Raw genomic sequence first — 24,116 nt, forward strand, 5'->3', positions numbered from 1 at the left:
TTGACTCAATCACATTTCTAGCTTTAATGAGTATCAGTTGGATTATTACATTATTCCCCCCAGGATTGGAACCTTATTTCCCCGTTTCTTGAGACTTACTCGAGCTGTGTCACCAACGAGGGGCAACTTGATGTTTCATTCTTCCTTGGAGGATTAGGATTAGGGTCATCTGTGGCCGACTGGCACAATTCAGATTCAGGGAGAACAACTTCCAAAGTCAGTACAGACCCAGACAGAAAGGCTGATTGCCAGAAAGAATCAGATCTCCTGGTGTAAAAACAGAAATTGATCAGCTTGATTAAATTTAACTCAGGAAACGTAACTAGGAAGAATATATGTTGCATTTTGGGACTTGAGATATTTGTACACCCAGGCACATGGCAGCATTATTCACAACAGCCAAGAGGTAGAAACAGCTTATGTGTCTGTCAGTGGATGAATGGCTACATAAAATGTGGAATATACATGCAATGGAATGTTATTCAGCCTGAAAAAGGAAGGAAATTCTGACACATGCTACAATGTGGATGAACCTTGAAGACATTATGTTAAGTGAACTAAGCCAGTCACAAAAGGACAAATAGTGTATGACTCCACTGATATGAGGTACCTAGAGCAGTCAAATTCTGAGAGTCAGAAAGTAGAATGGTGGTTGCCAGGGACTGGGGCGATGGGGGAGTTATCGTTTAATGGGCACAGAGTTTCGGTTTGGGAAGATGGAAAGAGTTCTGGCGCTGGACGGGGGTGATGGTTGCACAACAATGTGAATGCACTTACGGCCTCTGAACTGTATACTTAAAAATGGTTACAATGGTAAATCTTATGTGTATTTCACCACAATGTCTGCAACTTAAAATATATTGCATTTCAAAATTGTGACAAGTGAAGGAAGTTTGTCTTAGACTGCCTTTGGTGGGATGAAAAAGATGGAAGTCTTGCAGACAGAACTCCTTGAAGCACAAAACTTGGTCTGAGTGAATGTTTGTTTTCAATAAGTTAACTTCTGAGAAAGTGCTGCTGGCAGGCTCACTGTCTGCTTTGTCATAAATTATGGAGCAGACAGGGAAATTAAAGTTGGTTCTTTTCTACTCCAAAATTCTTTTCTTCCTAAAATTGCTTGCTTCAGTTCTACCTAGAGGGGACACAAAGTGGAAATACCGTGTAGGGAATTGGAAAAGAAAAAGCTGGGCTGTTCAGATAGGCCAGTTAAATGCATGCAACTGGGATAGGTCCTTCTTCTCCATCCATCTAAAGAGCAAATGGTGACCCATTTTGAAAAATGTTTATTTTAATTACGTTGACCCTGGGCAGTGATAGATGTCATGCGTGTAGGTTTGGCTGTTAGAGAGCACAAGTGGAAATCCCATTACATCGAATAATCTATTATTTGCTGAACTACACGCCATCTGTAGGTGCTGGGGTGCTGGCAGGGCTACTGGGTGATGACCGCTCACTCCGCTTGTCCGTACTCATCATAATGTGGTGAACTCCAGGCTCAAATATCCGCTGGCCTCCCAGACACCTCCTCCTGGGAATCCAGGAGGCACCCCCAACTTAACATGATCATTGAGGAACCCTCGATGTCTTCCTGCACCCCTCTCCATACCTGCCATCTTCTTTTCTTCACCACCTATCTGACTCATCTACTGCTGGGACAGATCCCACATCTACTCTTTTTTTTTTTTTTTTTTTGAGATGGAGTCTCGCTCTGTCACCTAGGCTGGAATGCAGTGCTCACTGCAACGTCTGCCTCCCAGGTTCAAGTGATTCCCCTGCCTCAGCATCCCAAGTGGCTGGGATTACAGGTGCTCACCACCACGTCATTTAATTTTTGTGTTTTTTTAGTAGAGATAGGATTTCACCATGTTGGCCAGGCTGGTCTTGAACTCCTGACCTCAAGTGATCCACTCACCTCGGCCTCCCAAAGTACTGGGATTACAGGTGTGAGCCACCACGCCCGGCCAAATCTACTCTTTTCTATCTCCATTATCAGGTCTCCAGGCCCAGCCACCATCATTTCTAACGGATTCTAGGGTGATCATCTAGTCAGCGTGGCTAAAATCTAGTCTAGGAGGCCAGTCTAGTCTAAGGAAGTCCTCTATCCTAGCCTAGCCCAGGGGGCTTGTCTGGTCTTCTCCAGCCTAGCCTAGCAGGCTTACCTAGTCTAGTTGAAGAGCATCTTTGTGAGCTCCCTGTTTTCCTCTCCCCCAACCCCAATCCACTCTTAACACAGCCAGGATGACTTGTTAAGACCTTTTTAAAAATGATCAAGTCCGGGCACAGTGGCTCACGCCTATAATCCCAGCACTTTGGGAGGCCAAGGCAGGCGGATCATGAGGTCAGGAGTTCAAGACCAGTCTGGCCAACATGGTGAAACCCTATCTCTACTAAAAATAAAAAATAGAAATAAAAATAATGAAAAAAGAATTAGCCGGGTGTGGTGGTGTGCACCTGTAATCCCAGCTACTCGGGAGGCTGAGGCAGGAGAATCGCGTGAACCTGGGAGGCGGAGGTTACAGTGAGCCAAGATCGCACCATTACACTCCCACCCGGGGGACTGTGAGACTTCATTTCAAAAGAAAAAAAAAAGATCAAGCATTACCACACATGCAGAAACATACATAAAACATAAACGTTAAGTATAACAAGTAATTATAAAGTAAAAACTCATGTCATGATCACTCAAGTCAAGAAGCAGAGCATTGCCAGGCCCCCAGGAGCTTTCCTGCAGGCATCCTGCAAATCACACCCCTCCGCTTCCCCCAGTAATACCGTCCTGACCTAGATGTCATCTCTGCCTTGCATTTCCTAAACTAGGTATAACCATTTTAATTTTGCCTTAAGAAAAACTCTTTATGTAAATGGAGTTATAGTAACACACACACACTTACGTTTTTGTGTTTTATTTATTTTTTGAGACGGAGTCTCACTGTGTCACCAGGCTGGAGTGCAGTGGTGCGATCTTGGCTCACTGCAACCTCCGCCTCCCAGGTTCAAGCAATTCTCCTGCCTCAGCCTCCCAAGTAGCTAAGATTATAGGTGTGCACCACCATGCCTGGCTATGTTTTGTATTTTTAGCAGAGGCTATTTATCAGTTCACCATATTGGCCATGATGGTCTTGATCTCTTGACCTCATAATCTGCCCACCTTGGCCTCCCAAAGTGCTGAGATTACAGGCATGAGCCACTGCGCCTAGCCTGTGTTTTAGTTTTTAAAATCATTATTATTTTAGGGACAGGGTCTCATTCTGTCACCCAGGCTGAAGTACAGTGCACCATCGTAGCTCATTGTGGCCTCCAACTCCTAGGCTCAAGCAATCCTCCCTCCTCAGCCTCCCAAAGTGCTGGGATTACAGGCATGTGCCACTGTGCCTAGCCCTGTGTGTTTTCTCTACTCAGCACTATTAGTTTTGTCCAGTTTTCATTGTAGCTATAGTTCATATTCACTGTGATTATTTCATACAGTGGGATACTGTACTATTTATCCATTTGCAGTTAGATATTTGGTTTATGTCCTCTCTGGGGCTGATACCAATAATGCTCTTACAAACATCCTGTGTACATGTTGCCTGTATACATGCGTCCATTTGTGTTGGGTGATACCTAGAAATAGAATTGCCCGATCATACTGCCAATCAGTTTTCCAAACATTTGTATCAATTTACATTCCCTCTTAATTGCACAAAGAAGAGAGGCTTAATGACGCATTGCACATCCTCCATCTGGTTGGAGTCATTTGCCAGGTTGGCCCAGCTAGTAAGCGACAAACTCGGTCCCTGGATCTGCTGTCTCCCTTTCTACCCACCACACAGCCACGTTACCACGGAGGCTCCTCTCAGGGTTTCTACGAAACCGAAATCTTGAATGCCTAATTTGGCTGCACAGCGTTTATCCTTGCATTTCAGAGGACAAGACACTCCATGTGCAGAAGTAATTAGAATAAGCAGTCAAGCCTTTTAAATGCACGTTTGAAATGAAAGGGAACAGTTTAATCTTTAAAAAGGAGAGGGTGTTGCCATCCTCTCAGCGAGCACCCGGAGCCTCTGCTTTCAGGTAGACAACAGGAGGATCTTCAGGGCTAAACTCTGCCAACTGTGCCCATGGTTGTGGAGCATTGCAGAAGGCTTTCCTGCAGTTGGCATCATTCCCCACATGTTTCTCATCTCGAGGATGTTGACCGATTATGTAACAGAACTTTTTTTTTTTTGCTGAAGATAGCATTTGAAAATGCAAAAATGTTCCCTGTCCTAGCTAACAACTATTTTTTTTTTTTTTGAATAATCTTGGACTCAGGTATTCTCCTTGGAAAGTGTTCTGGGGGTAGAGAAGCAAGGTTGGGAAGGGAGGGGCTTGGGAAAGTGCAAAGGAGGGGGCAGCTTGATGAACTACTTTGAACCATAAGGTCTCAGTGACATGAATTTCTGGTTGCCACCTAAGTCACCTTGTGAAAATAAAGCAACTGAAGTTTGAAATGGAAAGGAAAAAAAAAAATGAAGAGATTTAGGGCAAGGACAGCCTGACTAGATTTGTTCCACCAACACATTAAAATTTGACTTTTGCTAGATGCTGGAGACAGCAATAACGTAAAACAGAGTCCTTGCCCTCGTGGTGTTACAGGAGAGAAATAGTGCACAAGCGTACTGTTTGGTGGGACAAACAAAGCAGGGTGATAATTACAGAGTGTCGGGAACAGAGAGGTGCGATGTCTCGACTTTGAGTGGGGTGTTTGGGTGGGGCAGGATGGTGGGCGCTGGTGTGGGGTCCGATGATGCACTTGGCTTGAATGGTGTTGATTTTGAGGTCTCCATGAATCCTCCAGAGAGGAACATGTGTCCAGCTGGTGGTTGGAAATGGAGCTGAGGACATCAGAGGAACGGAACCTGGATATGGCATCTCAAAGGGGAGGCAAAGACAGCACCTTGGGAAACACCCTATTCTGGTGCCCAGAGGAGGACCCTTGAGTGATTCCTGGCTCCCAGGTGGTGCTTGAGAAGTATTTGTTGAAATAATGAACGCTGATGGTGGTCTGGAGCACAGGGAGGTCAGAATAGGTGCGGTCCCATGACTGAGCGTCTTGGGGATGAGTACTGGAATTTTCCTTTCGTGCTTGGCTGCACTAAAATGCAAACCCCGGACCCCAGCTTCTCTGTCTAACCCCGGCCTGAATCCTTGCTGACCTCAGGGGCCTCTCAGGTCCCTGTCCCTGTCCAGCCTTTTCCTCCCCGGCTCTTTGGGGTCTCTGGAGAGCCTCGGAGCTCCATTTCCAAGATGCCTGAATGGAGGAACCTTGGCACCTGCAGCCTTCTGGCCCCTTCTTGTTGCTCTAACCTCTGTGCTGCTCCCTCTCTCACCCCGCCCTTCCCATCTCTCCAGTTCCTCTCCTGTCAGTCCCCCCAATGTTCACCTCTTGCCACTCTCCAGTGGGCTGGGAGCTGGGTAGATGGACCGGTTGGGCAGGTGTGGGTTGAACTGAACCCTGAGATTCATATCAAGCCATTGAGCTAATATGTCTGCTTGGCAGCTGACACAGATGGGCATCCATAGAAGGGATTTGGAGGGTCATGGAAGAGATGGCTTCTAGCTTAGGAGCTGCCGGGGGATGGACATTTTGGCTAAAAACAAGGGATGTGTTTTCTGAAGTCCACTCACCCCGTCACAGTGATCCCCCCGAGGCGGCACCAGTGTGCTGCGTCCCAAGTCTCCTGTGTCACCATGCGCTCCTCCTCTCTGAATGTCTACAGTGCTTTTCTGGTGCCTGGGCTTGTGCTGGGTCAACACATTTTGCTCAAAAAGTTTTGCAGAATGAATGCGCAGAGAGAGGCGGCAGCTCCGGGCGGGATCAGGCATGCTCTTCAAACTCAGTCAGCCAGTGCTGGATGCCTGCTGGATGCAGACGCCATGCCGGCAGGTGGCATGCTGCAGGGAGCACCCGAGAAGACGAGGCGCTCAGCCTGCCCGACTTCTCTCAGCTTGCCTCCTCCCTGCTTGTGCCAAGCTCTAGTTAATGAAGCTTGGAGCACGCCAGTGGGTTTTAAAAACTAATGACCAAGAGGAAGGGAAAATTCCTTACACTTTCCAGTCATTTGACTGCTTCCCTCTTGGGTGGGTGCCACACTGTGACATGGAGAGCATGACTCAGACCGACTGCTTGCTTCCAGCCCGTGCCTCGAGGACCAGCCTTTTGCACCAAGTCACAGAGGTTACACTTTTAGGACATGAAGACCAACCAGGTCAGCTTGGGGCTGGACAAGGAATCGGGGTACAGTTGGGGCTAATACTGTGCGGGGTACCCACCTGCAGCCAGAAGTGAATTCACCCCCATGCCGTCCCAGGCCAGCCTGTGTGCCATGGTCCACTGGCTACCAGCAGATGGCCAATGGCTGCTCCTTGCCTGGCAAGCCTCAGACCTTTAAGGCACTTGACGATTTCACACCATGTTAACAGTCCAGGTGAACAGCAGCCAGGGATTTGCCAAGCGTTGCATGTAGCCTCCAGATTGACCTTCTGAAAGGTCTTGCTTTCCACGTCCCTCCTTTTACAGGCTCACGCCTGTAATCCCAGCATTTTGGGAGGCTGAGGCAGGCAGATCCCAAGGTCAAGAGATCAAGACCATCCTGGCCAACATGGTGAAACCTTGTCTCTACTAAAAATACAAAAATTAGTGGGGCATGGTGGCACGCATCTGTGGTCTCAGCTACTTGGGAGGCTGAGGCAGGAGAATCACTTGAACCCGGGAGGTGCAGGTTGCAGTGAGCTGAGATCGCGCCACTGTACTCCAGCCTGGTGACAGAGTGAGACTCCGTCTAAAAAAAAAAAGAAAAGAAAAGAAAAAGAAAACAATCTCAGCCTGGCATCTGTACTGCCCCTCGCCTGGTCCCTGCTGCCTGGCCCCCATCACTCTGCCCTCGGACGTCCCGGCCACGCCGACCCACACAATGCCTCCTGACTGTGGCACCTCCAGATGCTTGCAGGATTGGCCATCTCGTCTGTCCTGGTATCCTCTGTAGGTGACTCTTGCTCCTTCTTCTGCTCGCAGGGTACATGGCAGCTCCCCACCAGAAGCATTCCCCCCACTCTCAGGCAGTTAGTTATTCTGTTTTTCTACTACTGCTTTCGTGACATAATTAGATTATCATTATTAGTGTGTTGTATAATTAACTTATCATAATTAGCTGTCTTTCCAGACACACTGTGAGTGCCTCAGCTCACCACCCAGCCAGTAGCTGGCATGGGATGGTTGCAAACCTTTATAGAATGGTTCGAATGGGATCATGGCTACCTCTTTGGGTGACCCCCATCCTCTCTGCTAGACTCCTGGGGGCAGAGCAGGGTGGGAAAGACAGGAGGAAGCAGGGCAGCTGAAAGCCACAGAGGGAAGGGAGGTGGGATGACTGTCCTTGAGGGCCATGAAAAGGAAGAGGCAGAGAAGGTACAGATAGTTACTCATAAACACACCAGATGAAACAGGTGTATTCACAGTCAGCAGCAGCTATGCAGGGCAGAGGGAGGAGACAGGAGGATGGTGACTGTGGGGACCAGGGGTGACTTTGGAACACACAGCCCAGTGGAAAATGGCCTTTCCTTCAACCTGAGAGCCCCGTGGTGGGTGGGAGGGAGGCACAGCCTCTGTCCCTCTGCCTGCTGCACTCATCCCTCATCTGTGCATGGCTGGCCCCTCTTCTTCCTTCAGGCCTCACCTCTCTGATCACCCAGAGGATCTCAGAGCCTCTCTATCAGTCACTTCTGGATGACAAACTGATTGGGTGACCAAGGCAGGTGGCTCCTGCTCCATCATAGCCAACGGAATCTCAAGCATGTCTGGCACAGACTGGGTGCCTCATTAGTGTTTGCTAAAGGAAGCTCGTCACTTGCCCTCCTCCCTGCACCCCAGCAACCTGCTTGTGGTCCCAAAGGTGCCGTGAGAGCCCCTTCCTCCTGCCTTGCCCCTGCCCTTTCCACTGCCCAGGACTTCTCCCTCCCTATCCTTCCAGATGAACTTATGTGGTGCCCTCCACCCTTGAAGCCCTCCTGGCTACCCCTGGCCTGAAGCGGGCTCTCCTCCCTTGGCACATTCAGGCCACTGGCACCGCCATCCTTAAAGTCTGCCCAGCTCCCACTGCCCGGCTTCCTCAGGCCTGTCTCCAGAGCGCCCGGAGGGCAAGGACTGTGTGCCGTCGTTGGCTTATATTGCCTGGCACACACTGGCATTCACTGGGGAAGGGTTTGAGTTAAACCTGAATTCACCTCACCAGGCGATTGGAGCATTGGTGAGACTGGGTCTGCAGAGCAGCTGGTGCTCTTAAAACACGGCCATTCCAAGCCTTGCCATGGTCCTGGTCCTTGTTTTAGAGCAGAGCCTTCTGGATGGGCCCTTTGGGTCACATACAGGCCTTTATATCTGGTGGGGCCAGCCCAGGAGGGCTTAGGTGGACACCCCAATCCCCGGGGACCGACCTCAAGGTCTCTGCTGCCTGAGCCCTTGTATTTACAAGGAAGACCAGGAGGAGCCCCGGGTGCTGGTCTGTGCCGCCTTCCCTCAGACCCTTCCCCTCTGTGGGGACCCATGGTGGCTTATCTTACAGTGTGACATGTTGGTGACAACCAGCCAGGCTTTTCCCCAGGGCCTGCGAGTCACTTGGGGTGTGTGTGCTGGGACACTGAGGCCCCCAAGCAGGTGACTATATTGGCCACTTATGTTCATTTTTGACCTACTGTGTGTGTCGGCTGCTGTTCTTGGAATTTCCTGTATGCTAACTATGAATTCTTACAAGACTTGAGAAGACTGAGGCAGAGAGTGAGAGAGTAATGTAGTTGCCCAAGGTCGCATGGTGTAAGTAGCAGAGGCAAGATTCGAACTAGGCTGTCTGGCCCCAGAGCCCGCCTTCAAACACCACTCCATGCTGCGTGTACTAAGCATCTGCCATATTCCAGGTGATGAGAGCAATATCTTAGAGTTGAGAGCTTACCATGTGGCAGGCACGGTTACAAATCCTTCATGCGTGTAAACTGGGTTAATCTGCACAGCCTTTTGTGGCATAGGCACCATTATATTTCCATTTTTCAGATGAGAAAATTGTGGTGCCGGGAAGCCAAGTCATTGTGACAAAGCCTGGCTGGAGTGGGAAGGGATGCTGCTTTTCCTGCTGGATGTGCTGCCTGGGTGCTGGACACCCTGGCCCTTCCCCTGGGAGCACCCGAACCAAAGGCCAAGCCTCTGGGAAAATGGTGAGGCAGCGTTTTCAGGGGGCGTGGTCCTGCTGGTGTACCAAGACCCCTCTGGTGGGCAGATGGTCCTGAGGTGACGGGGTTGGAGTCCATCCCCTCGGGCAGAGGAATGTGACAGCCAGATGCTTGGGATAAACAGCTCTGGTCCCCGGCCAGAGGGACAAGGTCACGGTAGCCTCGTTCAGCCAGGCGGGTTTGCAGGTGGCTGACTGGTTGTTGGAAACAGGGATGACCTTGCGTCCTGCAGCAGAAGAGAAGATATTGATTGGTGTCAGGTTTTACTGGAGTGTCATGCACAGGGCTACCCTGCCAGTTCATTGCTGAGGGTGGAATCTCCCTGCCCTGAAATAATACCCTTCGCTTTGAATATCCTCCGCTGAGGTTTGGAGCCCAGAAATAAAACAATGGGGCCAGAACCACTTTGGAATGTCTTCAGGAATTGCTTGGATGACAAAATCCACACCGATATGGCCTAACCTTCTGTCGGCTGGATAATGAGGAGCATGGGGATAATTCTCACTTCATGTTTTTCTGTGGGTTTTCGCAAGTGTTTTCTTTTTAGATTTTTAAAACAACCCTGGAATAGGCGGGGAAGGGGTGATTACGTCCATTTCTTTTCAGCTCATGGCTCAGAGAGCTAGAGTGACTTGCCCAAGGTCATACAACTAGTAAGGGCGTGCCAGGACTAGAACGGGGTGTCTTGTTCTGGGGTCAGTGCCTTCCTGGCCCTCCTGGCTCAGGTTGAGGAGCGTGCTTTCTGCACAGCTTTGGGGTGGGACGTTCCAGAAGCGGAGTGAGGGAGCAGGTGGACACCCCGGGTACCATCCAGCAATTCTTGGAGTCCTCATTCATCACTTTACCACCTTCTGGTGCAGCAGGCAGACAGGAAAAAGTGCCTTGCCCGTTCAGAGGCTGGGAAATGTCCTTTAATATTGATCACCTAAAACCAGAGTGTGTCCAACATGCCGGCCTGAGCTCTGCGCTGTTCGAGGCTAGAGACCGGGGCTTATGCATCCAGTAGTTCTTGAGCACTGGGTGCCAGCTTCTATCCTAACTGTGTGTATAACTGTGTATTAACTCACTTAACTCATGCTAAGTTGACCGATATGAAATGACATGACAAGCAAACCAAGGCAGAGGGAGGCCAGGGTTGCCTGGTTAGTAAGCTGCAGAGCTTGTTCCAGCTCACATATGTTATCCCACACAGTTGGCAGAGCCATGGAGTCAAGTTTTGTTTATCCCAAGGTTGGTCTCCGGCCTACCTGGGAAGATGAGATTTGAGGTCGTGAGCTGACATGCTCTGCCTGAGAAGTGAAGGGGTATCAAGAGGGAGGAGTTGGCCCTCCATACAAGAAACAGAGCTGGAAAAAGAGAGTAGCAAGCCTCTCAAGGAGAGAGGCTACCCTTCCTACAGGAAAGGATCGGGGTGGCTCAGCATGGCTGGTTGATGTCTGGATTCAGGTGGTGCCCATATGCCGTAACGACTCCAAACCCTCAGTCACTGTCTGCCCGTGAGGGGCTTTGTGGGTTGGAGTGCTTTGGAGGGATGAAAAACAGAGGAGGCGACATCACAGCATGGAGGGCATAGCAGAGAAAGGGAGAAGCCAGTATTTGCTGCCTGTGAGTTGCAGAGTGGAGAATGAGCATTCAAGAGAGGCAACGTGGAGAAACAGAAGCACTTGGAGAATTGTCAAAGCATATTTTTTAAAAAGTTAAACACAATTCTTATACAAATAGTGAGCATGTGTCAAAGGCTTATTTAACTCATTAATGAGGGAAGCAGCAGGATGACAAAGCTGGTTCTAGGAAAGATACGGGAAGCAGACATATCTTATTAGTGAAAAAATGTTGGAGTGAGATTCCTACGTTTGATACAAAATCGCTAAGATCCTCACATCCTAGGGCAATGAAACCATAACCTTTGGGATTATCTTTTATCCCTCCAGACAGAAACAATGGGCAATTCATTAATTTCCAACAAGTTAATGCCTGAATTTACACAGTCTGAGTCACTATCAGGAAAAAATCATCACAGCTACGTTCCCAGGAAAGCTTCATGACCCTTCACTGGGTTTATAAGACGGGGGCTCCAGTATGACGTTGAAAGGATAGGAGACATCCATCTGCCTCATTTAGGAGATTTGGATAATTTTTTTTTTCCTATCAGTCTTTGGAGACATCTGGAAGGAGGGTTCCCTCTGAATTTCCTATAGTAAATGGGATTGGGGCCCTAGCTGTTATTTAAACATCGAAGAACACAGGCTCACTGCTGAAGGTAATGGATTGAAATTCACCCTCATCTTCATTCCTTCTCAGAAGCCCATTACAGGAACAGTGAAAGGATTTTTTTGGAAAGCTAAAATCCAGAAAGACAAGGAAGATAAAATATCAAGAATTTTGGAAGCTGGAAAGCAGAAGTATGGGCAGTAAGTCACCCGGAGACAGCTGCTGCAGGGGCTCTGAGGGTGGGGCAGGGGGAGCCAAAAACAGGAGGGCTGGTAGAACGTCGAGGTTGAGGTCTCCTTCCCCTCGTCTAGGCAGCACAACCAGAATACCCTGCCTCACCCAACTTTGGCAGAAAAAGAGGGTTTACCCTGGAGAGAAGGAAACTGAGGGTCTGTGGAAGAGGGGATTAACGGCAAGTGCACCCATTCCAGCTCCCTCCCCCTGCTCAGCTCCCTACCCACTCCTAAGGCAGAAGAGCTGGCAGCCAGTACTGGACCCATATACAAGGAGACCAGAATGTTCTTCTCTAGGGAGCCCCATCATCCTGAGGGAGGACTCTAAAGACCCTGCCTCCAGAGGTGCCCCCTGAAACAGCCTGATCACCCCACAATGAGGCCGTCAGCCCTAGGCCCACCCACATGCCCACAGTGCCCAGGCAGCTCTTCCTGCCTCTTATTTGAAACCAAGTGGTCAAAACTCCCCAGGCAGACAGGCAGACGTCCCAGGAAAGGTCTGACTTGGTGAGTACAAGACAATCTGAAGGAAAGCAACTGGGAGGCAACTGACTGTACAGGGAGGGAGGTGAAATGTAGGGGGCAGTCATGATTCCCAGCATGAAAGTAGAATTTGCATTATTTATGTAGTATTCATGCCAAGGTGTTCAGTATGGATGTAACCATGAGGACATCAGCAGATGAATCCATATGTGGGGCGATCTACAAGAAACTGGCCTGGAGACTTCAAAGATATCAATGAGAAGAAGAAAAAGGTTGGATCGACTCTAGAAGAAAGGAGACTGTGGAGACAGGACCACCAAATGTAATGGTTAGATCCAGAACCGGAAAAAATAATGTGTTTGTAAAACGTATTTTTGGAATAATTGGAGAAATCTTAATATGTGCTGTACGTTAGATAATGTTGAATCAAGAATAAATTCGTCGACAGTCATAATAGTGTGACTATAAGGTACAAGCACAGTTTCTTGACTTGGGCGCCACTGACAGTTTAGGCTGGGTCATTCTTCATGGTGGGGGCTGTCCTGTACATTATAGGATTTTTAGCAGTATCCCTGGCTCCTACCTGCTAGATGCCAATAGCATACTCACCCACTCACCCCGAAGTCTCGAGTAAAAATATCTCCACACATTGTCAAATGTCTCCTTTGGGAGAAGGGGTTGCACATTTGTCCTTGGTTGACTCATTGGTACAGAGGAGAATATTCTTGTCCTAAGGAGGAAAAGATACTGATGGATTTAGGGTTGAATTACATAATGTCAGCAATTTACTTTCAAAATGGTTTCACAAAAGAAATGTGTAATATAGAGAAAGTAACTATGGTAAGTATTAATTGATGAGCCTAGGCAAAGGGTATTCATTGTATTCTTTAAAGTCTTCTTTAGGATTGAGAAGTCTCAAAATAAGTTGATACTAAAAAATTGTATCCTTCTGGTAAGAGATAGCTTTTAAAAAATTGCAAAAGAGAGCCCATAGAATTTAAACACAGTTGAAGAACCCAAAAAAGGATTGAGATAAAATAGAGAAAGTCTTCCAGAACGTAGAGCAAAAAGACAAAGATTTAGGAACAGGAGATGCCTGAACCTGCCACACATGAACTGTGTGACTTTCGAGTCTGGCCTCTGTGGATTTCACTTTCTTTGTTGGGAAGATGGAGATCATAATTTCTGTTCTGATTCCCAAACAGATGTAAAAGGCATTGCTATTATTATTATTATTGCATTTCGCTGACTCTTGGGAGATACCTGCTTTCTGTGAATGGTGTTCATGTACTTGTCAACTAACTGCATTTATTCACTCACTCATTCATTTACTCATTTGAGAAACATTATTTAAAAATATGTATATAAATTAAACATGCTTTTATTAAAACAAAAGAAGGAGAGAAAGGATGAGAAAATTCGAGGGTGAGATAGGAAGGTTCAAAATAAGCATAATAAGAATATTCTAGAAAGAGAAGACAGGAAAAACTAGAGGGGGCAGTCATAAAAAAAATTCAAGAACACTTCTTAGAACTGGCTTTCCAAGTGACAAGCCCATTAAGTCCTCAGCAAATTGGATGAAAATAGGCCTCATTAAGGCCTCTTGTGAGAGTTTCCCCAATGTTTAAAAAAGTGTCTAGAAGTTTTCTGAGTGGGTAGAAAGAGGTCACATACAAAGGATCTAGAACCGGAGCGGCACCAGACTTCTCAGCAGCAGTGCTGGATGCTAAGAGGCTGTGGTGACTCCCTGGAATTCCTCAAAATTAGGTGTTCCAGCCTGGAATTCCCTGTCCAGCTGAACCTCCAATCAAGTATTGATACAAGAGATAGAAAGAAATTATTTAGACAGATAGTAAGGACAAAAAGTTCCCGGCAAAACTTTCCTTCTAATAAAAAGCAGCTCGAGAAATTACTTCCTTTCTGATCACAAGCAACTCAAAGAAATCACTTCTCTTCTGAAAAAGAACAGCCTAAAAAAATTGGACTGTAAACATAAACGGCTCCGACACAGAAAGAGAGCTTCCTGGATAACCAAATTTCACATACATACGGTGGGTCCCAATAAAAACAGTGGGCCTTAATAAACACATCCCTTTCCTTTTATACACACAGTAAAATAAAGAAACTAAATACACAGAGCAGTGGGGATACCTACAACTACAAAAAGATACCTGGGACCAGACACGTCCATTGTGGAAACTCCCCCTCCCCTTTTCAACACATACATGGCAGGAGAGAGATAAACAACATAAAATAACTCAGGCTAAAACCCACCTACATAATAAAAAAGTGGAGTATAGATGGCCAGAGATTCCACTCTATACAGATGGCACACCTGGTCCTAATCAGTTTTTCACACTGTATATAAATAAGATATCCCCTCTCCACTAACTCATTTATAAAAACCCTTACATTTTGCTACATTTTGCCACCCCATTCGGGACCCCTCTCTACAACACAGAACTGTTTCTTTTCTTTCACCTATTAAACTTCTACTCTAACCTCACCCGTTGTGTGTCCACATCCTTGATCTCCATGGCCATGAGACAAAGAACCTTAAATGTCACCCCAGACAATGAAACCACTTCAGTATGATGGCAGAATAAAGACATTTTGAGCATAGCAAACACTCATTAGGTCTGTTCCATGGGTGGCCTTGGGGCTAAGCTTCTATGACAGTGCTGGCCCTTTCTCAAGCACCAAGGCAGGGGCCATGGCTGGGAGCCTGGGTGCAGCCTCCCATCTTCTCTCCCAATGGCCTCTCTCTTGTCTGTGCCATTCATCAGACACTTACTGACCACCACCCTGTGCTGGGCTCTGGTTCCTCCCCTTGGGGGACTCCTGACCTAGTATGGATGTGGGATAGAGGGAAACACAGGTGATGATGTGATTCCAGCCAGCTGCAGCAACGAAAAACTCTTGGATCTCTGGCCTGCATTTTGAAGGGGTTGTTGGGAGAGGAGCCAGCCTGCTCAAATGCAGGGAGGCATGAACCAGACTGAGGTCAGAGTTGGGGGTTCCAATGTGTTTAGGTTTTCTCCCAGCCCCTGGGACCTGGGTCTCAGAGCACTTGAGTCTCACCAGACAGACTCATCTTCCACGCCACCTCCCTGTCCCATACTGAATAAATGGGAACAGGAGGGTGTGGGAGTCCATGGCGTGGCCAGCTCTGATGTTGACCAGCTGCTGCCCACAGACATTTGCAGCTGGTGGCCTGAGCCTGACCCAGGAGAGAGGAGCATGCATGAGTGGTCCCTGGGCTGGGTGTGGTGGGTGTGTGCTCAGCCCCTGGGGTGTCTGAGAGGCAGGCAGAGAATGGGTAGGGACTTCTCCCATCAATTATCCTGTATGTACTGGTGTGTTAGGGCCTGAGCACATACCTGACTCTCTCAGGGAGTATGGGTTGCAGAGCTGGGATGGAACAGCATCACATAATCCAGGTCCATGTTTTCTAGCAAAATGTGCCTGCGTTTCCAGAATCGGAGGATCTAGCTCGAGTTTGGCCCCTCAGCTCTCTCCCCTGGGCCTTCATCAAGCCCCTCAGCCTTGCTGAACTTGTCCCTCATGTGTCAAGTGGAGATGATGTTGACCTCCAGGTTTTGAAGACGTGGGTAGGACATTGTACATCACATTACATTTGCACCTTGCTAGGCCTCTAGAACAGAAAGGGTCACTGTCCCTTCCTTCCTTCCTTCCTTCCTTCCTTCCTTCCTTCCTTCCTTCCTTCCTTTCTTTCTCTTTCTTTCTTTTTCTCTCTCTCTCTCTCTCCCTCTCTCTCTCTCCCCCCCTCCCTCTCCCTCTCTCTCTCTTCTTTCTTTCTTTCTTTCTTTCGAGATGGAGTCTTGCTCTGTTGCCCAGGCTAGAGTGCAGTGATGCGATCTTGGCTCACTGCAACCTCCACCTCCTGGGTCAAGCAATTCCTGCCTCAGCCTCCAGAGTAGCTGGGATTACAGGTGCCCACCACCATGCCCAGCTAATTTATACACACACACACACACACACACGCACACACACACACACACATATATATATTTAGTAGAAACGGGGTTTCACCATGTTGGCCAGGCTGGTCTCGAACTCCTGGCCTCAAGTGATCCACCCGCCTCAGCCTCCCAAACTGCTGGGATTACAGGCGTGAGCCACCACGCCTGGCCAGCTGCTGTCATTTCTAAGAAAAATGGAGGCCCCGGAAGGAGAATAGCTTTGGCCAGGTCCAGCCCAAGTTAGAGTGAGCTGAGACAGGCACCTAAGGCATCAGGGTCCAGCCAGTGTCTGACCCCCTCCTTGTGATGGGCTACGGCCCCTACTGTGCCTCATTCACCCAGAAGAATTTTATGAAATGTCCTCTGAGTGTGAGCATTTTTAGACTCTGAGATAATGACATTCCTTTCTTTTACACATCCGAACAACTCAGGACTGAGGGGAAAGTTTTGGAAATGATCTGTCTCCATACCCAGTGGACTCTGAGGACAGGGGACGGTGAACCCTGTGGGTTTCGACGACCGCACATCAGACTTTTCTAATGAGAAAGAACACTCTTCACTTAGTTGTGTGTGTGCTTAATCATTTTAGCCTTTTCTTACTGTTTGTTGAAAAACCACATTTTATTATGGATAATTCCAAACAAGTATAAAATTAGAGGTAATAATGTAATGCCCCTCCCCACAGTCTAGCAATCACCCAGTTTTGACAATTGTCAACTTGTGGCCAGTCCTCTTTTATCAATGCCCCATCTACTCACCCCCTTCTCATATTATTATTTTGAAGCAAATATCATATATCATATTTTATTCATAAATATATCAGTCAGTGCATATCTCTAAGAGACTCTTTTTCAAATGATATAACCACCATATTGCATACTATTATTGCACCCGTTTACCTTGGCAAGGGAGGCCCCAGCCAAAATGCAGAGAACCCCAGAAAGTTCTTTGCTTTTGTGCTTCTTTGTGTCCAGGTCCTAGAGATCGAAGCATGGTTCTGGGGACCATTAGGAATGATTTTGGCACTGCATGATTTTTGTGACTGTTACCTCACCGTTCCTGAGGTAGGCCCCCATGGTGGCTTTCTCCATCAGCCAGAAGAGGTGGTGTGGTTCCCACTCATTCGAGAAGACCAAGGCTCAGACCAAGAAGCGACTTGTCCCTAGGTCCTCCAGGCAGTGAGGGACAAGACCAGAGCCAATCCAACGTCATCTTGAAGGACCCAGCTCTCTGGTCAATGGTATGCGAACAGTCAGTCTCTTGGAAGGCGGAGTAAAGTCACAAAGCTGATTGTAAATGGAAGCTTCTCTGAGGTTGCTCTTCCATGTCCATGTTACTCCCAGAGCTGGGTGCCTGTCAGACGGGGGCTGAGCACCTCCTCCACGATTTGCAGAGGTCTCAGGGATTCCAGAAAAGTCTCTTGCAACCACTCCCACTCCACGTTCCCTTCCTTAACTCTCAGCACCACCAGTTCTTGCTGCATTTTCTCATGATGCTCCGCATTGGAGATCGGAGTCTGAATTTTATATTTGTGCCCTTAGTATACTAAGGCTTAAAAAATAGAATGTTTCAGCATCCTATTACAGAACTATAAAGTTAGGGGACCTTTAAATGTTGGGTGCAATATTTTGCAATTTGCTCACTTGACCTATTTTTGTTAATAGATCTTTAATTCTCTTTAAACATTTACTCCTATCTTTTGGTTTTATTAAATTTTGAAATGCATATGTGTTTTTGAGTCCTCTGGGTAACAAAATGTCAACAGATTAAAGAGGCCATTTTTTCATTGCCTGGCGGCCTGCAAAATTATAACAATAACCTAGATCTGGTTAGAAACGAGGCTATGCCCTCTGTCTTCACTCCGGAACTTCTGATAGCAAGACCAGAGAAACATGATAAATTAAACCAAAGACTAGATTCCCCTCAAACAGTTCCAACTTTTTACCCAGTTCTCTGGGGATTGAGCCTGCTAGGATGAAGTATAGTTCAACCCTTTACTCCCATGAGTAAGCTAAGGACCTCTTAGAATGAAGTTCATTGAGTGTTTTATTAAGAGACAGTTTGGAAGATACCATTCATATCCACTAGAATGGCCTTGACTTAAAAAACAGCAACAACAACAAAGGAAAATAACAAGTGTTGGGAAGGATGTGGAGAAATTAAGACCCTCGGACAGTGCTGTTGAGAATGTAAAATGGCGCTCCTGTGGAGAACAGTTTGGAGGTTCCTTAATAAGCTAAACATGGAATTACCATATGACCCAGCAATTCCACTCATAAGTATCTACCACAAAGAATTGAAAACAGGTGCTTAAACAAAAACTTGTAAACAAATATTCATTGCAGGATTATTCCTAAAACCAAAAGGTAGAAACAATGTCCAAATGTCTATCAGCTGATGAATGGATAAATAAAATGTGCTATGTCCATATAATGGAATATTATTCAGCCTTAAAAGGAAGGAAGTACTGCTACATGCCACAACATGGATGAACTTGGAACACATTACGCTAAGTGAAAGAAGCCAGAGGACAAAGGCCGCATACCGTATGATTTAATTTCTATGAAATGCCCAGAATAGGCAAATCCACGCTGACAGAAAGCAGATTGGTGGTTGTCAAGGGCTGTGGGGGAGGGGTGCAGGGCTATAGTTGGGGAGTAACTGGTTAATGGATACAGAGTTTTATTTTGTGATGAGGAAAATATTTGCAACAAGATGGTTCTTCCCAAAGGTGGTGTGTGCTTAAAAAAAAATGGTGCTGCTGGTTGCATGACATTGTGACTGTACAAAATGCTACTGAATTGGACACTATAAAATGACTAATTTCATGTTATGTAAATTTCACCTCAATCAAAAAGAGAGACCATTTGGAATCTCATAACACACTTACTATTTCTTCTGTTTGCTGTGAGGCCAAATAAATGAGTTGGGGAGGATCTGCAAGTGCGTGTTCCAACGGCCATATGGTGCAGTGGCAGAATGAGCTCTGGAGCAAGGCAGACGAGGGTTCAAATCCTGGCAAGCTTTGTGATGCTGGGCAAGTTACTTGGCCTCTCAAATGGAGCTGCCGATAGAACCTACCTCACAGGGTTGGTGAGGAGACAAAGCTCTTAAGGTCAGCCATGAATGGATTCAGGCTGTCAGCCTGGGTCAACTCTAGTAGCCTCTTCTGCAAAAGGAAGAGTGGAGCCCCTGCCTGGTGCCCCCTTGGTCACATGGGTGCAGGAGCTAATGGACAGGAATGTACTCCAAGCCCACGCATGTTCCCAGGCCACGTCGGGGCAGCTGGGGGCAGCGTGGGAGACGACTGGCTTTTCTTTCCTCTGTGATCCGTCCATGGTATTTTGCATACAGAAGTCTGGGCTGGGGCTGGCCAGGGCCCCTGAGGGTCTTCACCAGCTGACTGGCTGGCCCATACCTGTCCAGCCCCTGCTGAGAGGCGGCAAGTGTGCTCTGAGCCCAGCTGGGGCAGACAGGTTTTTCCATGCAGGGATTATCCTCCCAGCTCCAAGGTCAGCTGCTTAAACCTCGTTTAGCTCAGGTGCCTGGGGTTTTTAGGTTCCTGGAATCAAACTCCAAGGCAGTGATTGGTTCTCAGTCACCTCACTGAGAACAATTGGCAATGTCTGGAGACATTTTTGGTTGTCACAACCTGGGGCAAGGCAGGGGGGTTGCTAGTGGGTAGAGTATCTAGTGGGTAGAGGCCAAGGAGTCTTTTAAACATCCCACAATGCACAGGCCACACCCCAGGACCAAGAACTATCTGGCCCAAAATGTCAGCAGTGCTGAGGCTGGGAACACTCGTCTGAGTGAACCTGTTGCCCTGGAAGCTCCTCGTGAGGGGCTCATCACTGCCGGTACCATATGCATCTCACCAGTTATCCCAGTAGCCTGGTGGGTGTCTCCCCACCTCATGGATGAGAAAGGTGAGACCCAGGAGGGATGAGTAACCTCTCCAGGGACCCCCAGCTGCCTCATGGCAGAGCTGGGTTTCGAACTTGGATCTGCCTCACTGGAGAGCCTGTTTCCCTAATTACCAGTCAGTTAAACAGGGAGAATTATACATGTCAAGGCCACCTTATGAAGACCAAATGGTAGAAGATGTGTTTTATTTAGATGAACCCACATTTACCCAGTTCCTGTTGCCTGAGAGCCGTGTGGCATGGTCCTTGTTCATAAAGTGCCTAGAGCATGAGGGAAGCAGACCTTGAGCAGGTAGATGAAATATACTATGCCAAAGACTAAAAGCTGGAGGGAGAGCTGTTTGCCCAAACTAAGGAGATGACACCTGAGCTGAGTGTTGAAGATGAGGTGCAGTACCCATGTAGGAGAGAGGTGGGAAGGGTTTTCTAAGAACATGGAACAGCAGGAACAGGAGGCAGGAGGAGACAGCCGTGGCTGCAATGCCAGGGAGGGTCCACTCAGAGGGACCTCATATGCCTTGCAGAAGGTCTTGGGCCTTATCTTGAGGGTGAGATGGAGAGCGACAGGGTCAGGGTACATTCTAGATCAGATATGCTGGCTGCTGTGTGGAAGACGGATCTGAATGTGCCAGTGGGCTAGGCTGTCAGGAGGCCTTGGGCAAAAGTGAGATGATGAGGGTCCAATGGCTGAAGCAACAGGGATGGAGAAAGGGATAGATCTGTGGAAGAGGCAGCAGATGAAACAGGCAGGACTCGGTGACTGGTTTGCTGAATGAAGGTGAGGAAGAAGGGCTGGGGCTGACTCTGGCCACCAGCTTGGGGAAGCAGGGTGTTGATACCTAACAGAAAGGGGGGACGATGAAGGTCTGGGGGTGGGAGGAGAGATGAGGCTTGGAGTCTGAGCTGCCTGTGGGACAAGCAGGAGGGTTTGTCTAGCACGGGATTGGTTCTGACCTCAGGAAATGGGTCTGCTTGCAGTCGGCTGCCTTCTCTTATCATGGGAGTCATCCATTTTGTTGCGGGTGGCAATAGTTCACTCTTTTCTTTTGCTCTGTAGAATTCCATGGCACAAATACACATGTGATTGGCTTGTCAGCTCAACTATTGAACGTTGAGGTTGTTTGCAGCTATTATGAATAATGCTGCTGTGAGCATCCTTGTCCGTGCCTTCTGAGGGCCATGTGCATTATTTTTGTTGGGTTCATGAGAATAGAATTGCTGGGTTGCGGACACATGCCTGCCATATTTCATAGACAGGGCCAAATGGTTTTCCAAAGTGGACCACTTTACACTCCCACCAGAATGTATGGGGTTCTCATCACTTTGCATCCTGACCAACATTTCTGTTGTTGTCTCTTGTGGTTTTAATAGGCATTTCCTTGGATAATAATGGCTCTGAGCATCTTTGTGTGTTTTGGGGCTGCTTAACATCTTCTCCACCTCCGTAATGTGTCCAAGTCTTTGTCCAGCTTTCTGTTAGATTGTCTTTTTCTGATTGATTTGTATCTAAGTCCTTTGTCAGATATGTGGACTGACAGTGTCTCCTTATCCACTGTGCATTTCATTTTCACTCTCTTACTGATATCTTTTGAATGAAAGTTTTCAATCAATGTATTAAAGTTAATGATAACAGCAATGAAGCAGATGTTTTTATTAAAAGTGAAACAAAATGAGCCAGGCACGGTGGCACGCACCTGTAGTCCTAGCTACTCAGGAGACTGAGGTAGGAGGATCACTTGAGGCCAGGAGTTTGAGGCCAGCCTGGGCAACGTAGTGAGACCCTGACTCTAAATAAAAACAAAAGTAAAAGTAAAAAATGAGCTGAGTGTGGTGGTGCATACCTGTAGTCTCAGCTACTTGGGAGGCTGAGATGGGAGAATCGCTTGAGCCCAGGAGTTCAAGGCTGCAATGAGCTGTGGTAGGACCACTGCACTCCAGTCTGGACAACAGTGGGAGACCCTGCCTCTAAAATCAATAAATAGCTAGCTAGCTAGCTAGATAGATAGCAAAATGATACCTTGGAATGCGAGAGAGGTGTCTTGGAAGCCCAGTTCTTTGGCTAGTGTGCTTTTTAAGGGAATGAAGGAAATCTCTCTGGTTTAGTGAGAGGTGGGGGATGACCTGGAAATCGATCTTGAGTCTTGGATCTTCTGTTTATTGGGCAGGTCCCCAGTTCTCTGTCTGTGAAAGGAAGGTGCTTTCTGCCCAAATTCTCAGGGCATCCACAGGATCCCCTGAGTTCACCAAGGTGAGAAAGCTCTGAAGAGGGATGTTGGCATTCTCAGTGGTTCTGCTCAGAACTCAAAGGCCCCAATCCCTGCTCCTCCCTGGTTGCAGGGGTGGGTCTGAGACAGGCCTGGCAGGGGCTGCTGGAATAATCTAGGAGGGGAAGGACCCGGCTTCAGCCCGAGTTTGTTGGGGGGAACCATGGCACCAGGGGCATGGCAGGAAGCGCCCCTGCCCCCTCCTCCTCTCTGGCGTCTCCCCTTTCCTATCCCTCCCCATTCAAGGACTGGTGAGCCCTTGCCTGAAGGGCATGGGAGTGCTGGAGAGAGGTGACTTCCGGGACACTGACTGGCCTGGATTCCATTTGTGCCATCTTGAGTGGTGCCCAGTCTGATGGAGCTCGGAGCTTGTTCCCACGAGGGCCAACAGTCATGCTTGAAACTCACGTGCCTCCTGCTCACCCTGCTCTCCCACTGCCTCCCCATCGCACACTGACCTTTCTGCCCCGCCAGCACACCCATACTTCCTACCACGCCTGGGGCTGAAGAGTCTTCCCCAGACTCTCCGTCATCCAGGCCTCCCTCTCCCCTCTCCACCCTCACCTGCCGTGTTGTCTTCGTGGCACTCAGTACTCCCTGACGTTGTGTCACATGGTATCATTGGGGTACTGGGGTAGTGTCCCCCTCCCTCCCACCAGCACAGCCAATCCTCCAGGGCAGGGTTTCACTCATTCACTGCCTGCGTGCCTGTGCCTGCTGCACCTGGCATAGGGGAGGGCCACAGACACTGAAGGCAGGAGGACATGGCGCTCGAAGCAAAAACGGGGTGCTCTGCATCCGAAGGCAGAACAGGCTGGCAGTGACCGAGAGCAGATCCAAGGGCCAGAGGTAGAGCACCCACGTTCCCTTGGAGCCCTCTGTCCTCATTAAACAGAGAACCACGAGGGGAATGTTAAGCTCTAAGGAGCAGGTTGAGTCTCCTAGGAGGTGGCCAGCCTTCCTTCCTGATCCCTCATAATCCCTGGGGTTTGGTCAGTTAGGAAGGAGGGGCTGGCACGTGGCCGCATTCCTGGCTTCAGGCAGGATCCTGCTTGAAAAAGGCCAGTTTTTGCCCCCTTAGATCCATACTGGGCTCAGTAGTACAAGATGGCTGCTCATCTAGTGAGAATCTGTGATTTGGTTTCGGTGCCTCAGCCCGCACTAAATGGGACATCTCTCAATGGCCAGAGAAAGAGGTGATGCATTCCTGAAAACCTAGACCTTCCCGGCAACAACTGTGGCATCACTGCCTTCATGGGACCCTGCTTTTGAGGCAGGTGTAATTTATCGACTCCAGGAAGGAACTTGCGGCTCCCGCCCAGGGTCACACAACACTGGGCCAGCCAGCACCAGGACTCTCAGTGTGCAAGCAAGGGCTGTTCCTCTGTGCCCCATGGCATGGAGGGTGCCAGGCTGCGTGGGGAGGCTCAGGGGGCAGGGCAGAGGCTCTGGAGGTGCAAGCGGCTCAGGCTGGACTCAAGGTGCTGCCGCTCATGAGCTGAGTGACCGTGGACCAGGGAGGTGACTGCCGTGAGTCCCAGTGGCATCTTGTGTAGAAGGGAATGTACTCTTCCTTTTGGGCCTGCTGTGAGGGTTCAGGAGTGAACAGCCCTGGGAGGGTGTGCACATAGTGAGAGGTGGGATAGCAGAGATGCCCACTGGGCCACACAACACTGATCTAGAACCAGAAATACCATCTGACCCAGCAATCCCATTACTAGGTATATGCCAAAAGGATTATAAATCATTCTGCTATAAAGACACATGCACACATATGTT

General features: G+C 48.4%; 1 protein-coding gene across 7 annotated transcripts in view, besides 1 other annotated feature; it reads left to right on the plus strand.

Annotated features, from left to right (window-relative positions):
* Nucleotides 1-24,116, plus strand: part of SLC24A4 (solute carrier family 24 member 4) — a 178,901-nt gene that overhangs the window by 34,442 nt on the left and 120,343 nt on the right. The window lies entirely within an intron of this gene.
* Nucleotides 8,797-9,298: an enhancer, noted in NCBI's record as "H3K4me1 hESC enhancer chr14:92832163-92832664 (GRCh37/hg19 assembly coordinates)". NCBI's record gives its function as "activates a minimal SCP1, AML or CMV promoter by ChIP-STARR-seq in naive H9 embryonic stem cells {active_cell/tissue: H9 hESC(naive)}" and the evidence as "EXISTENCE:reporter gene assay evidence [ECO:0000049][PMID:30033119]".

The sequence above is a fragment of the Homo sapiens genome, chromosome 14 (genome assembly GCF_000001405.40).
Source record: "Homo sapiens chromosome 14, GRCh38.p14 Primary Assembly".
Lineage (NCBI taxonomy): Eukaryota > Metazoa > Chordata > Mammalia > Primates > Hominidae > Homo > Homo sapiens.